Raw genomic sequence first — 14,157 nt, 5'->3', positions numbered from 1 at the left:
CAATTGCTAACCAGTCAGGCAGCCTTTCTCTACTCCCTAGATTGCAGGCCCCAATCTACAACAAAGGGCAGATGCACTTGATTATGGTTTTCAGCTCTTTTAAGAAAAACAATAAAACTTGCCCTGTGCAGTGTTTACAATTGTTCTTGAGCCTGTATTTTGTAAATGGTAGATTTTATATTAAAAACAATCAGTATCACTGGCATTCCTTTAGAAGTCAGATTTGGACATCCTGGACTCATAGTCCTGCATGGTGCCTGTTCTTTGGCTCTGAATTCTGGCTTCCCCTTCTACCAGAGGCATGCATTCCCCATCCAGTGCCCACACAGTTTGTCCTACAGTCACCTTGCTTTCAGGTTTGCAAGAGGCTAAGGAAAGATATAACCCTAAAGGGATCTTGAAAGTTCCTGAAGTGCACATAGATAGAGAATTTACATGTCTGCATTTTTAATTTGTGAGAAAGGTGGAAAACATAGCAAACCAAAAGGCCAGCAATAACCTGGGATTGACCTTAGGTGATGGTAGAAATGATGTGCCCTGTATGTGCAATTTCAAGGTGCTGACTCACGTGGGATCCCACAGGATCCTCCAACCCGGAGAGGTTCTGCTTTCCACATTGCAAGATGAGGAACCTGCAGTGTGGAGAGGTGAAATGACTTGCCCAAAGTCACAAAGCTGCTGATCATCCAAGCCCAGGTTCAAATGCAGATTTGCTCACTCTTGGCCTGGTGTTCCTTCTCTCCACCTTGATTTTAATACTACTTGATTTTCAAAATAAGTTTCCCCATTGTCTTATCTATCTGGCTCTTCTAACACCTTGGACAGGTGTGCAGGGCAACTATTCCTAAACACATTTCGACAGATGAGGACACTGAGGCAGTAAGGTCATTGATACAAAAGCAGAGTGAGTTGTTTTCTCTGTGGCAAAATTTGAGGGATAATAGGAAGGATATTTTTACCTCTCTGTTTCCCTCTCTCTCTAATTCTAGATGGGGTAGGACTCTAACACACTCATCCCCCTTTTTTTTAAGAAAAGGAGAGATCAAAGAGTACCAAACACCAATCTTGCTCACTTTGGAAATTTGAAAATATCAGTCCTGAATTCTTTTCTCTTTTTCTCCTCTCCCTTCCTTCTTCCTTTCTCTTTCCTATGAAAACAAAACAAAACCAATCTAATAGTATTTTATATTTTCAAAATGCTACATGGACTTCTCGGTTATTCTTATCAAAATACTTAAAAGGAGGAGTGGAATGATGAGTTCTATTTCCCAACTTAGGATACTGAAGTCAACACCAGAACTAACATGTCCAGTTTCACTCAATGGCTTAGAAATGGCTGGAGAGTGAACCCTAGATCATTTGAGACTTCAGCCTGAGCCAAGCTAAGCTTCTAAGAACTGTTGCTTTGGTTTTGGGAGCACTTACTGTGTGCCAGGTGTCTGCTGGGGACTTTATATACAAAATCTGATAATCCATGCGATATTTCTAGGATGATGTATTATCTCTATCTTACAAGCTGAAGTGGGCCAAAGCTGCCTAGACTGCTTCCCAGGTCATCCTACAGGCCTGGGCCTGACTCCAAAGTCCATATTCACTCTATCATGCTGATTCTGCAGTAGAAACAAAATTGTCTATAATTCTCCACCCCGACCCCCAATAATCCCATAAATCAGGCCATTTCCTTAATCCATTTGTTGCCAGTGACCCCTCTGGGGTGCTTGGTGGTTTCCTGCAGATCCTCTGGGATTGTCTGGAGGTTAGATAATGTGTGGGCCATGTTGCCATCAAGGAATCTTCAACAATATAAAAGGAAAGACAAAATCTTGCATGGTAGTCAATCGCGTACTGGAATCAGCTCCTGTTTTTCTGTGAGCTTAAAGGGCTGTCACTTTTATGTCACTTTGAAAGAGAGTAAAGCTGGTTGAAACTGAGTAACAAACATTCAGGAAGTGAAAAGCCCATGCCACACCCTTAATGTGGTGTGCTAGGGAGGAGGGAGTAAATATTAACCAGAAGGCAAATACGGAAACATCCTAGAGGCAGTGCACGGAACAAAAATCAGTGAAGCTGGGTAGCAGCAGCTAAGCTTGTGGACTTGGAAACCAGCCAAGGCCTGGGTTCAAATCCGTTCTCTGATACTTACTAGCTGCAGGCTACTCGGCCAATTACCTAACATTCTTAGCCTTAATTTTCTCTGTGAATCTGGGATGGTAATACATTTACTCTGTAAATCTGGGATGGTAATACATTCCTCTGAGTGTTATTATGTAGATTAAATGAAGTAATGTGTAGAGCATATTTAGGGGAGTTACTAGTATTATTATAGGCTTAATCAATGGTAGCTCTTATTAGATACAATTAAACTACTATTAACCTATTTTCAGGCTCTTCTCTCAAATGTCTTTGCTATACTCATATTTCAAGCAAAAGTTGCATCAGGGTTTTCATTATATTATGTACTTTTAACTTCTAGAATATGTTCTGTGGACACTACAGATGCAGATTAAATCACCTGCAAAGTGAATCTGTCAGCCCTAACAATAAGAATAGCTCTTTTATGATGAGCAGGTGAGACCAGGTAATTACCGAAGAAAGAGAGTGATGTGTTCATTGAAGTCTACTCATGGAGGAAAGAAGGTAGGCAGAAAACCAATAGGTTTTCAAAAATATATGCAGAACAGGCTTTGGGGAGAATGCCAACCCTCAGTTAACCCAAGTCCCCGTCCAGGGTACGGGTATGCCGGTCAACTGATGTCCCACAAAAATGGAAACTTGGCAGAGGCTGGAAAACAGCAGCCCCAAGATACAGGGAGAAAAATTTCCTGGTTCATAAGAGGCAGGAGGAAAGCTGACACCAGCCCTTCCTGAAAAGAGAAAATGAGGGTATCCAATAGACAGCACATGGTATCTGCGATGAATGTAGTGATTCTGGCCAGGTACAAAAGTCTACTGTGTCATGTGGGATACCTTATTATGAAAAGGATATTGTGCCATTAGCAAGGCCCAGTGCAATACAGCCAAAGTGATTGGGGCACAAAGATCTGTGGATATTTTACAAGGGAAGTGAAACTAGGCTGGTATTCTCCAGGAAAGAAGAGATTATGAGGAGGGGATTCACTGATGACACAGCATTTTGAAGTGAAAAGAGAGAATAAAAGTGAAAAGGCTATTTGAGTTCATCGGTCCTTCTTTCTCCCTGACCCACATCTGCTTCCTCAAGCAAGGCAGGACAGTCTGAAAGAACTGTATATTAGCAAGGATTTATAATGTATGAGCATTTTTAAAAAGACTAAAAATTTACCTTGGATCAAACAAGGGAAAGTGAGAAAGAGAACAATGCAATATGTAATTAAGAAAAGGAATGCCTACAGGAACAATTCTGATGATTTTGGCATAGCACCAAATAATTGGAGGAAAAAAAAAGAAACCAAGAAATATGCAATTAATATGCTGCAGAACTGGCTTTGGAGTCAGACATATGGATTCAACCCTTGCCCATTAGCTTTGTGACTTTGGGCTGGTCCCTTCAATACTCTAAACGTTGGGAGCAACACAAGCCCCTAACTCATTGCATTTTTTGTGACGATGACGTGGCCAGGTGCAGTGGCTCATGCCTGTAATTTGGGAGGCCAAAGCAGGAGGATCACTTGAGGCTAGAAGTTTGAGAACCAGCCTGGGCAATATAGCAAAACCTCAGCCTCTACAAAAAAATGAAAAAAAAAATTAGCTGAAATTTGTAGTCCCAGCTATTCAGACAGGAGGCTGAGATGGTAGGATCACTTGAGCCCAGGAGTTTGAGGCTACAGTGAGCTGCAATTGCACCACTCCACTCCAGCCTAAGCAACAAAGCAAGACCATGTCTCAAAAAAAAAAAAAAGAAGAGAATGTGTATAAAATGCCTAGAGTCAGGCCTGTCATGGAATGGACACCCATGACAGGGTAACTGGTATTACTGTCATTATTATCAGTGTTGGTCTACATATCATCCCTGCAGGAGGGTTCATTTTATGCATGAGGAGAACAAGGCACCAAGGCTCAGAGAGGTTAAAGAATTTGCCCAAGGTCAAACAGGCAGCAAATGTTGAAACTAGTATTTGATCCCTGTTTTGTCTGATACATTCAGTCTCCATCCTGCCTTATTACAGGTGATGAAAGGAAAAGAAAAAATCATACATACTAGCTGTGCTTAATCCCTGCCTCCTTCATAGATATACATTTTTCTAGAAACCCAAATCATTAGCATATCTTTAGATGATTTCCACACCTGTGAGGGCTCTGTGGTTTTCTGTGAAAACCTGATTTATATTTGGAGATTCCGGGGAAATGAACATCCTCAAAAGCTAAAATAAGTGGGGCACGGGAGCTGCATGCATTGTAATCAGTTAAAAACAGCATTCAAGACAATGGCTTGGAGAAAGAGGCTTCAGTGGTTCACAAGTGACTATGGAACCTCTCTGAAGATTCCTAAAGCTTCTGTGTGCATGGACATGTTTCTGCCCACAGCAAGATTACTGCCCCATAGGGGCATCTACTTACTTAAGCTGCTCTTGTTATTCACCGTGTAAAGGAAGTTGTGGCCATCCCCTCTTCTTTCTTGCCTATCATTCAGAGCCTAGATTTTGTTCAGGACAGTTTAACCCCAACAATGGCTCCTGCTTGGCCTTAAGCAATTTTGATGACCCATTTCCCTTTGCCAATGATAGTTCAAGGATGTGCATGTGACCCAGTTCCAGCCAATGAGGTGTGAGGAAATGTCTGCAGGAAACTTCCTGGTTCTCTTTCTCGAGCAAGAGAGATATGTGAGAAGAACACTTTTCCTATGCTTGCTTTGTTCCTTGCAGGAAACTTCTTGGTTCTCTTTCTCGAGCAAGAGAGATATGTGAGAAGAACACTTTTCCTATGCTTGCTTTGTTCCTTCCTGGTATGCTGGTGTGAGGATGTGATGCTTGGAGCCATAGCAGCTGTTTTGCAACCATGAGGAAAGACATTGCTGATATATTGGGAATGGCAGATCAGGAAGAAAGAGCCTAGGTTCTTGGTGGCATCATTAAACTGCCATACCAACCCTGGAATAACTTATTTCCATACACTTTGCTATGTGAGTTCCTGCTTTATTGCTGACACTGCTATTACTTGGAGTTTCTGTTTCCAGATCAATAATATGAGACTATCTTGGGATGGGACCTGGGCGTGTATGATTTAAGTATTCTCAAGTCATCATGGATAGTTAGAGTGGAGAATCACTTTTCTATACCACAAACATCTCGAATACCATGAGAAGTGTTAAGACCACCCAGAAGAGGTAGAGAAACTTCTTTTTGGTTGGAGCATCAGTGAAAACATCTTGGAAAAGGTAGCACTTGGTTTGCACTGAGTGGGATGGATGGGGTCTAGACAAGGGAGGATAATGGTCTATAAGTGAGCAAAGACTTGAAAAGCAGGGGCTGTGTATCGGGAAGGACAGGTATCTCAATTCGGCTGGATAATAAGATGGGAAAGGTAGGAGAGAGGCTGCAAAGATGGTTTGAGGCTGCACTGGGTGTTGGGTGATGATTTAATGCCATGCTAAGGGCTTGGTGCCTGACACTGAGCTAATAGCTATAGGCAATTTAAGAGAAACTTAAGACTCAGCCTGCACACTGAAATGCTTCCAAAGCAATTAGGAAGACAAGAAATACTCATGGAATCTCTTAGAGACACAAAGAAGCCATATATAATTAGGTTCCCCAAGGAATGGCACAGAGAGTAAAAGCCTCAGGATGTCAGAGTCAAGAGGAAGAGTATGGGATAGAACAGGACTATGGAATTTGAGGATGTTGGAGTAGGAAAGATACTAACTGGCTCAGTCTCTAACTTTCCAAATGACACCGGAATTCCATCTGGGATGCTCTTGGGAAATGACCCATTGAACTCTGTCTAATCCCTTCTGGGACAAAGACTTCAGTTGTTTGCATCCATCTTTGGACAGTTCCAACGATCATCCAGTTTTTTATTACCAAAATCTATCTTCCTATAGCTTCAGACCACTGACCCTCATTTTGACCTGCTAGTCTGGAGTGGAATAAATTAAATTATTTGTTCCACTACTCCATAATAGGAATACATGCAGTTCCCTTCCCATGGCCTCACAGTGGCTGAAGCCCCTTAAATTTGGGATGGCTTAACTTGGGCAATGGATATTGGCAGACATGATATCAGCAGAGGCTTTTAATGCATGCACCCTCGTGTGCCTCTTCTATCACTGTAAGAAAAATATTCCCAGGGGCACCTACTGATTCCCAAAGAAAAAGAAACACATGCAGCAAACCTGAACCACAATCATGGCCTGGAGCCAAGCCCAGCCAAGCCTACATTAGATCAGACAAACTCCAGCTTATCTGTGAATGCATAAGAGATAAATAGATGTTATTACAAGCCAACATGGTATTAATGTGACCATAGCTGACTAAAGCATAGAGCAAAAAGAATAGGTTTACTCCCTTTTACACCTGAATACTCATCAAATAGATGGAGGTCACTATTATTCCTGTAAAATATTATCATTTTGTTCGCATTTATCCCCGGTGCTGATAACCAGTCCTTGTGTGACATGCATTTGAAATCCCTCCTGTATGTAATTGCTCACTCTTTCACCCAGAACTGAGTACACAATACTCCAGATGTAGCCTCACAGAATCTATTAGGATCATCACTGCTCTTCAGCTGAGAATAAGGCTTTTATTACTGCAGCCTAAAATTGCTTTAAAAAATAAGCTGTTTCATTGTTGGATCTTATTGAACTTTGGGTTAATTAAAACCCACAGGTCTTTTCCAACTCAATTGCTGTCAATCCAACTCCCCAATCCTGTGCCAACACAACTGACTTTTTAATGTTAAATACAGATTCTATTACTCTTAAATTGCATATGGTTGGTGTTGACCTAACATCCTGACCTGTCAGTACAATTTGAATCCTGATTCTGCCATCAAACATGCCAATGATTCCTTCCATAAATGTGGTGAGTATGCCTGCTACATCTTCTTCCAAATCATTGAGGAAAGAATATCGAATACAATAAACACAAGAGTAAAAACAAGCACCTGTGGCATATCTCTAGAGAGCTGAGTATAGTTGATTGAAATCTGCTGTATAGTCAAAAAATATTTTTGACTGTACAGTCATTCCACCTGTGTTTTGGCATGTTGTCCAGAAAAATATTATCAGTGACATGGCCAGAAGCAATGCTTAGATCAATGTATATCAGCAAAGTAATTCTATCAAAAATGGAAATTTGTTGGTACACTATGATCTATTTCTGGAGAACCAGAATTAGGTCCTAGTAATTACCTTTCTTTTCTACCTGCTCACCAACATTCTTTACCTTATAATCATCAATAAGCAATATTAAAATAATGTCTAGTCTTGAGAATCTACTTTTAAAAATGTTTATGAATTTTCTCCTTGGTGAAATAGCATAATGTGGTGCAATGTGCTCTAAGATGCTGTGAACTGTCAGGGCACTCCTCTTAGCCTTGGCGCAGTCTCCTTTGTTAGGTTCTGGATTAGGTTTCATTTATTCACCACCCTGGATCCATCCTGGCCTTGCTTTTGGATGGGAGGCCCTGACATCGGCATGCATGTTTCCCACTGTTGTAAAGCCTGCTTACTACAGTTTCCGCCAGTGTTACAGATGGAGGAGCTCACTGGGGCAGCAGCTCCCAGACTCTCAGGGTTATCAGGCACCTCCTCTCCCCTCTCCTGCATTATGTACCACTCACTTCCTGCCCCGGGACTTTCCTGCTGCCACCAAGGTGCAAGACACCACAATCCATACTCAATAAGCACCTTTACATGGACAATGCAGAAGTGCAGAGGAGCCGAAGTCCCCTGGAAATTTCTTCCTTCCTCTTTTACAGAGGCGTAATGTGTAGACAAAGTAGCTTCCTATGGTCTCCTAGAAAACATCTGATAAAACTAAAAAATCAACTTGTTGGCTGGGCACGGTGGCTCACGCCTGTAATCCCAGCACTTTGGGAGGCTGAGGCAGGTGGATCACCTGAGGTCAGGAGTTTGAGACCAGCCTGGCCAACATGGCAAAACTCCATCTCCACTAAAAAATACAAAAAAAAAAAAAATAGCCAGGCTTGGTGATGAGCGCCTGTAATCCCAGCTACCTGGGAGGCTGAGGGCAGGAGAATTGCTTGAAACTGGGAGGGAGACGTTGCAGTGAACTGATATAGCACCACTGCACTCCAGCCTGGTCAACAAGAGCAAAACTCCATCTCAAAAAAAAAAAAAATCATAAAGTAATGCACTTCCCTGCATGGTTCGCTCTCTCTCTCCTGCCACATAAGCACACGAGCTTTTGTCTCTGGCTTTGCTGTCTAGGTAAGCAAATGCACTGACAGTGCCCTGCCTGTATCTGCTCAGTACTCACCTCCTCTACACGCTGACAACTTCCCCAGACCAGCACTTGCTCTGGTATCTCAGCCAGCAAGCAGAGCTGACTGGAAACACTGGAGAATTGATGCCCCTGGGAGCAGAGTATAAATTCTCCAGATTCCTCCCACTTAGGATGGGACACCCTGAAACATGTCCTACAGTGTCTCCCAGAGGTCCCCAGTGGGACGAAACCCCAGTTGCCCACAAAGGTAACTCACAGTCCCTTCAGTGACTTCCTTTCCTTCTCTGTGTCCTTTCCCCACTTCTGTTTTGGTGCTTCTTGGGACCACTTCCCACATAGATTACTCTCATTAAAATCCTTCACTCTGAATTTGCTTCTTGGAGAACCCGACCTCAGGCACTAGGGAAGCCAATACCTTTTCCATTGTAAGAACCCCCTCCCCACTGCCATCTTCCTTTCTAATAGAATAGTTGGCAAGGGTATGCATTAGCCAGATGGGTTTTAAATTCTTTCCTCTATTCTTGTATTCGATTCTGAGTAAAATTTAGGCAAAACTCGAATCATCAAGTTTAATATAATAGTGTGTTCCCATAGTGTGGTAGCTAGTTGTCTTCAACATTATATAAGCAGGCCTCACTTTTTTGTTAAAATGTTATTTCTATGATTTGAATAAGTGATACCTGCAAATAAGGTAAAAATATGTACAAAAGGATACACAATGAAAATATGTACAAAAGGATACACAATCTCCCCTCTTCTTCAAGTCTTCCAGTCTGTTCTAATGTCTTATGTATCTTTCCAGAAATCTTCTATGCATTTACAAATTTATAGTCACACACACACACACACACACACAAATGCACATGCACGCATGCACAAATACTTACCTTCCCTTTTTCATGCAATGGCAAATCCCGTACTATACCCTACAGATTCTTCTGAATCTTGCTTTGTCATGTTAGGGTAAATCTTGGTGATTTTCTTTCATGTCGGTAAACATGGATTTGCCTTCTTCTTTTAATAGTTGTGCAGTTCTCCATTGTACTGATCAATTTTTTTATTGATGGCTATTTAGGGATCTCACATACTTAACATAATCTAAACTCTAAGATCATCTAAAAACCTTAAAACATCAACTGCTTTATTTGCTTACAATCTGCAATTTGAACTGGACTTGGCTGGGCTTGTGCTGGCCTGTCAGTGGTTACTCTTGTAGATGTGCTCAGTTGGCAGATGGGTTTGGAGTGGGGCTCAGCTGGGACACTGGGATGGCTGGGTGTTGTTCTTCCTAGCTCCATGTAGTCTCAGGGTCCCTCTCTTTCTCTATGAGCTCCCCATGGCCTCTCTCCATGGCCTTCCCAGCAGGGTAGCTGGACTTTCTTACTAGTAGCTCAGGGCTCTGGAAGCCACTGTGCCTTCTTTGAGCTTATGCCAGAAACCCACCTATTCTCATCTGTGCATTCTATGCATCAAATCAGGCCATAGGCCCAGTCCAGATTCAAGGTGAAGGACCTTCACAAGAGTGTGGATATGAGGAAATGTTCACTGGGGAGTCCCCATGTGAATAGGCTACTACAAGTGGCTTCAGGGAATACTAAACCAGTTATAGGATCAGGGGTCTCAACAGACGTACATTTCCTTTTATCAGAATTTATTTGTAATATTTAGTTTGAAAAGATAATTACACTTTTTAATGTTGAAAATCACTGAGTTACTTAATGGAGTTACATCATGTCCCTCTAAAGATTTGGAGAGATCTAACCCTTTGCCTTCATTTGACCAGTGAGGGATCTGAAAACATGTACAACATTCCTCTGACTTATGGTTCAGGGGTCTGTACCCCCAATTCTCTGCCCTTCTTTTTACTCTTACCTGCCTTCTACTGATTTCCCATCTGTGGGCTTCAACACAGTCAGTTCCTGGATCAACAAACATTTATTCAGCACCTGCTGTGTTCCAGGCATATGGTCCAGAAAGTTGCTATTCCAGTTATGTAGTAATTCTAGCCTCATATATAACAGTGGAGTGCTGGGGCCGGCTTGGGCCATCTCACGAGACCTGATTATGCCTGTTCATCTCCTTCCAACTCCAAGTTCAGTGTCAGCATGTTGGTAGCTTGAAATTGGTCATGATGGGAGTATTTACATCACAATAATCGGCAAACACTACAAATTGGGACTTTTTTCCTCCCCAAAGAGTTGGCTGTTAAACATTTACCAGCATATCCTGGATTTAATCTTAGATCACATTCTCTTTCAGGCTCAGCCAGGTTCCTTTACCGCCGTCCATGCTGACCTATAGGGCTCTGACTTTTCATTCATGTATTCTTTCATTCAGCAAATATTTACTGATCAACTCCCATGCTATTTATACCGTGTCTAAAGGGGTCAGTCCCTACTCTTTCCCAGCTAATTATTTTCAGGAAGGAATGTGGGCCTACCATTGCTAGATGTTATTTTTTTAAGAGACATGAGTAATTCAGATTTTTATGTAGAAATTGTCCAGTTTTTAAATGTGAACAACAAATTAAAACTTTTTTAAACTACTGCCTGGGTCAAAGTAAACACATCTTTAGGTTATCTTTGTGGCTGGGTGCAGTGGCTCATGTCTGTAATCCCAGCATTTTGGGAAGCCTAGATGGGAGGACTGCTTGAGCCCAAGAATTCGAGATCAACCTGAACAACAAGGTGAGACCCCATCTCTACAAAAAAGAAAAAGAAAAAAAATTAGCCGGGTGGAGTGGCATGTGCCTGTAGTCCCAGCTACTCAGGAGGCTGAGGTGGGGGAGCATGGCTTGAGCCAGGGAGTTTGAGGCTGCCGCGAGCTGAGATCATGCCACTGCACTCTAGCCTGTGTGACAGAGTGAGACTGTCTCAAAAAATAAAAAATTGAAAAAGAAAATTACATTTGCCATGGGGTCCAACAGTTTGTGACCCCTGTTCTAATCCTAACAAAAGTAGGTGACATCAAGACCTTAGCCTCTCCACTCCTTCAGTCCCGCCAGTCATGCTACAGTTCAGCCACCTGGAAACCCAGGCACACGCCTAGTACTCCACCCTCTGCCCTATGTCTGTCATGTAAGTAGTGAGTTTTAGATGTGTGTTTAAAACAATGTCCTCTCCTTAAAGGCCTTGTAGGGGTCCCCAGCAATGCTCACCTCTCAGCCTCCCATTCCACTCTCTCCTATATTATTTCCATTAGGCTGCTCTGGCCTTCTTTCAGTTTCTTGAACATCCCATGCTGCCTTCTGCCACAGGGCCTTTGCACTCGCCACTCTTTCTGGAACATTGCTCTTTTCCCTTGTGAATGTAAGACAGAGACTATTTTCTGAAACAATCTTCCTTGTCCCAGACCAGATCATGTCCCTCTAATTTATCTTGTTTTTATTGTGTTTTGCTCTATTTTAGCATTGCAGTGGCCATGAGCATGTAATTCTTAGATCCCTTACTGATGGACAGCCCCAGCTGCTGTACTCCAAATCCATCACCACATGTCTGCAGAGACCACACTTCCCAATGGCTGTTCCCAGCTTGTAGCTAAGCCCAGCAGGAAAACTAAGCCAGTTCCATCCTTGAGAAAGGGGGACTCTTCTGATGGGCAAATGTGGCCTTGCCAGAACTTCCTTAGGATGACACTGAATCTAAGACCATCCATCCTCCTCTCTCCTCTTCACAGAACTACTTCCCAGTCTGATGGCTTTCCTGGCCTTCTCCAGCCTCCCCCACCATTTTCTTTTACTTTTTCTTTTCATTTATTTTATTTTATTTATTTATTTTTTTGAGACACGGTCTCGGTCTGTTGCCCAGGCTGGAGCACAGTGGCGTGATCAAGACTCACTGTAGCCTGGAACTCCCTGGCTCAAGTGATTCTCCCACCTCAGCCTCCCAGTAGGTGGGATGACAGGCATGCGGCACCATAGCTGGCTAATTTTTGTATGTTTTTTTGTAGAGATGGGGTTTTGCTGTGTTTCCCAGGCTCATTTTGAACTCCTGGGCTCAAGCAGCCTACCTACCTCGGCCTCCCAAAGTGCTGGGATTATATGCATGAGCCATCGTGCTTGACCTCCAATTTTCACTCACAGGCATTTTCCCCAATAAATCCCTTACCTGTTTATTCCTGTCTTAGTGTGCATCACGGAGGACCTGCACTAAAACAAGTATCTATTATGGTGGTAAATTTATGTTTATATATGTAATTTTTTTTAACTGACTAATTTTTATTCCTTGATCTCATTCTTCAAAGCAAACTTCTTTTTGACCTTTTTAAATTAAACAACTGACAGCGTTTAGTTTTATACATACATACACAATCATATATGTGCGATTATTTGACAAATGCTTACCTCCCAGACTAGATATGAGGGCAGAGACCAGATTGAGCATATATTTGTCTTTGGTTTATCATTAAATCCCAGTACCTCCACCAGGGCGGAACTCCCACACTGTGAGCTCCCACAGTGGGTGCTCATGAACATTTGTTAATTTCACAGTGATTGAAACAATTAAAAATATAGTACCTTATAAAAAATGGAAGGTATGCTTAAATGTAATGTATGTTTGTCTCAACTGTAGGCTATTTCAACATGGGAAACTGAAATCGGGCATATCCCTGCGGAAGAAGGTAAATATAAGGCAAATGTGGTCAGTCACAATAGTCCATGTTGTAATACGGGGACTTAGAATTGGATTACATTTCAGTGTGCTTGTAGGATGGACCTCTGGTTTCTCCTTCCCTAAGCCATAATAGTCTAGTAATGGAGAATACACTAAAAAGTGCCAATCCAAATACTGACCAAGATTGAGCAAGTCAGGTAGTAGGCAATGAAAGCAGCTGGCACCGTTTTGAGACCTGACTTGCTTGAAGTGGGCTAGCTCCGGGTCTTGGGCAAGTCACTTTGCCTCTTCTGATTCTGATATTTCCATCTGTATCATGAGAGGAGTGGCCTGAGACTCTGAGGCACACCTCTAGCTTGGATTCTAAGTGGAGAGGAGAGAGAGGTGGGGGAGGAGGGACCTCTTTATTGTTCCTTACTGTGTTCCCAGTACCTACCTTGGTGCCTGCATTTTAGGAGGCACTCAAGAAATCTTGCCTGAATGAATGAATGGAAACCTAAATGGAGAATACCTCCTCTTTTGCCTGGGTACACACTGTTTCAGGGCCCCAATCTGTGCTAGCAGGGGAGGCAGAAAGCAGCTGTTTACCTTTGAGGGAGCGGCTGGGTGATCTGCCTGTGTAAACAGCCATTTACCCAGGTGTCAAGAGGAGCAACTGAAAGAGAACACACATTTATTCCCTTCCTCATGGTAATGATCCAGAAATCCTGGCTCGTCTCTGCATTTTTCCGGGCACTGCTGCAGTGGGAGCCTGGTCTTTTTCTAATGCAGCCCTGGGCCAAGCCACAAACCCCACTGCTACTGTCCTACACCTACCCCAAGTCACTCCCTCTCTAGTCACCCTGCTAGTCACCCTTTTGCCCTTCAGGACAAAAATCAGTATCTGAAGTTACCTTTTAATTGAATGTTTTGGCCTGCCTCTTGTCTATATCCTTTCCCTACAATGTAAACACCTTGAGAATAAATTGCCTTGCTCAATGCCCTGCCCTCACACCTGGAACAGTGTCTGGTACTTGGTGGGGCTGCTCAATCAATGGACATTGACTGATGGACAAGTGAGGCTTGTGTCAAGCCTGGTTTAGTACAGTCCCCAATGTGAAAGGGTGCCTGAAATTCCCATTAATAAAGTCATCTCTTGGGTTAAGTCTGCATTCGTCACT

General features: G+C 42.7%; 1 long non-coding RNA gene across 1 annotated transcript in view; it reads left to right on the top strand.

Annotated features, from left to right (window-relative positions):
* CASC16 (cancer susceptibility 16) overlaps positions 1 to 14,157 on the top strand; it is a 54,889-nt gene that overhangs the window by 31,158 nt on the left and 9,574 nt on the right. Inside the window, exon 3 of the long non-coding RNA NR_033920.1 lies at positions 12,956 to 13,004. This is a non-coding gene — a long non-coding RNA (cancer susceptibility 16). The remainder of the gene's footprint in view (positions 1 to 12,955; positions 13,005 to 14,157) is intronic.

This window comes from Homo sapiens, chromosome 16, assembly GCF_000001405.40.
Source record: "Homo sapiens chromosome 16, GRCh38.p14 Primary Assembly".
In the NCBI taxonomy this organism is placed as follows: Eukaryota; Metazoa; Chordata; class Mammalia; order Primates; family Hominidae; genus Homo; species Homo sapiens.
This window is presented reverse-complemented; position numbering and strand designations above follow the sequence as displayed.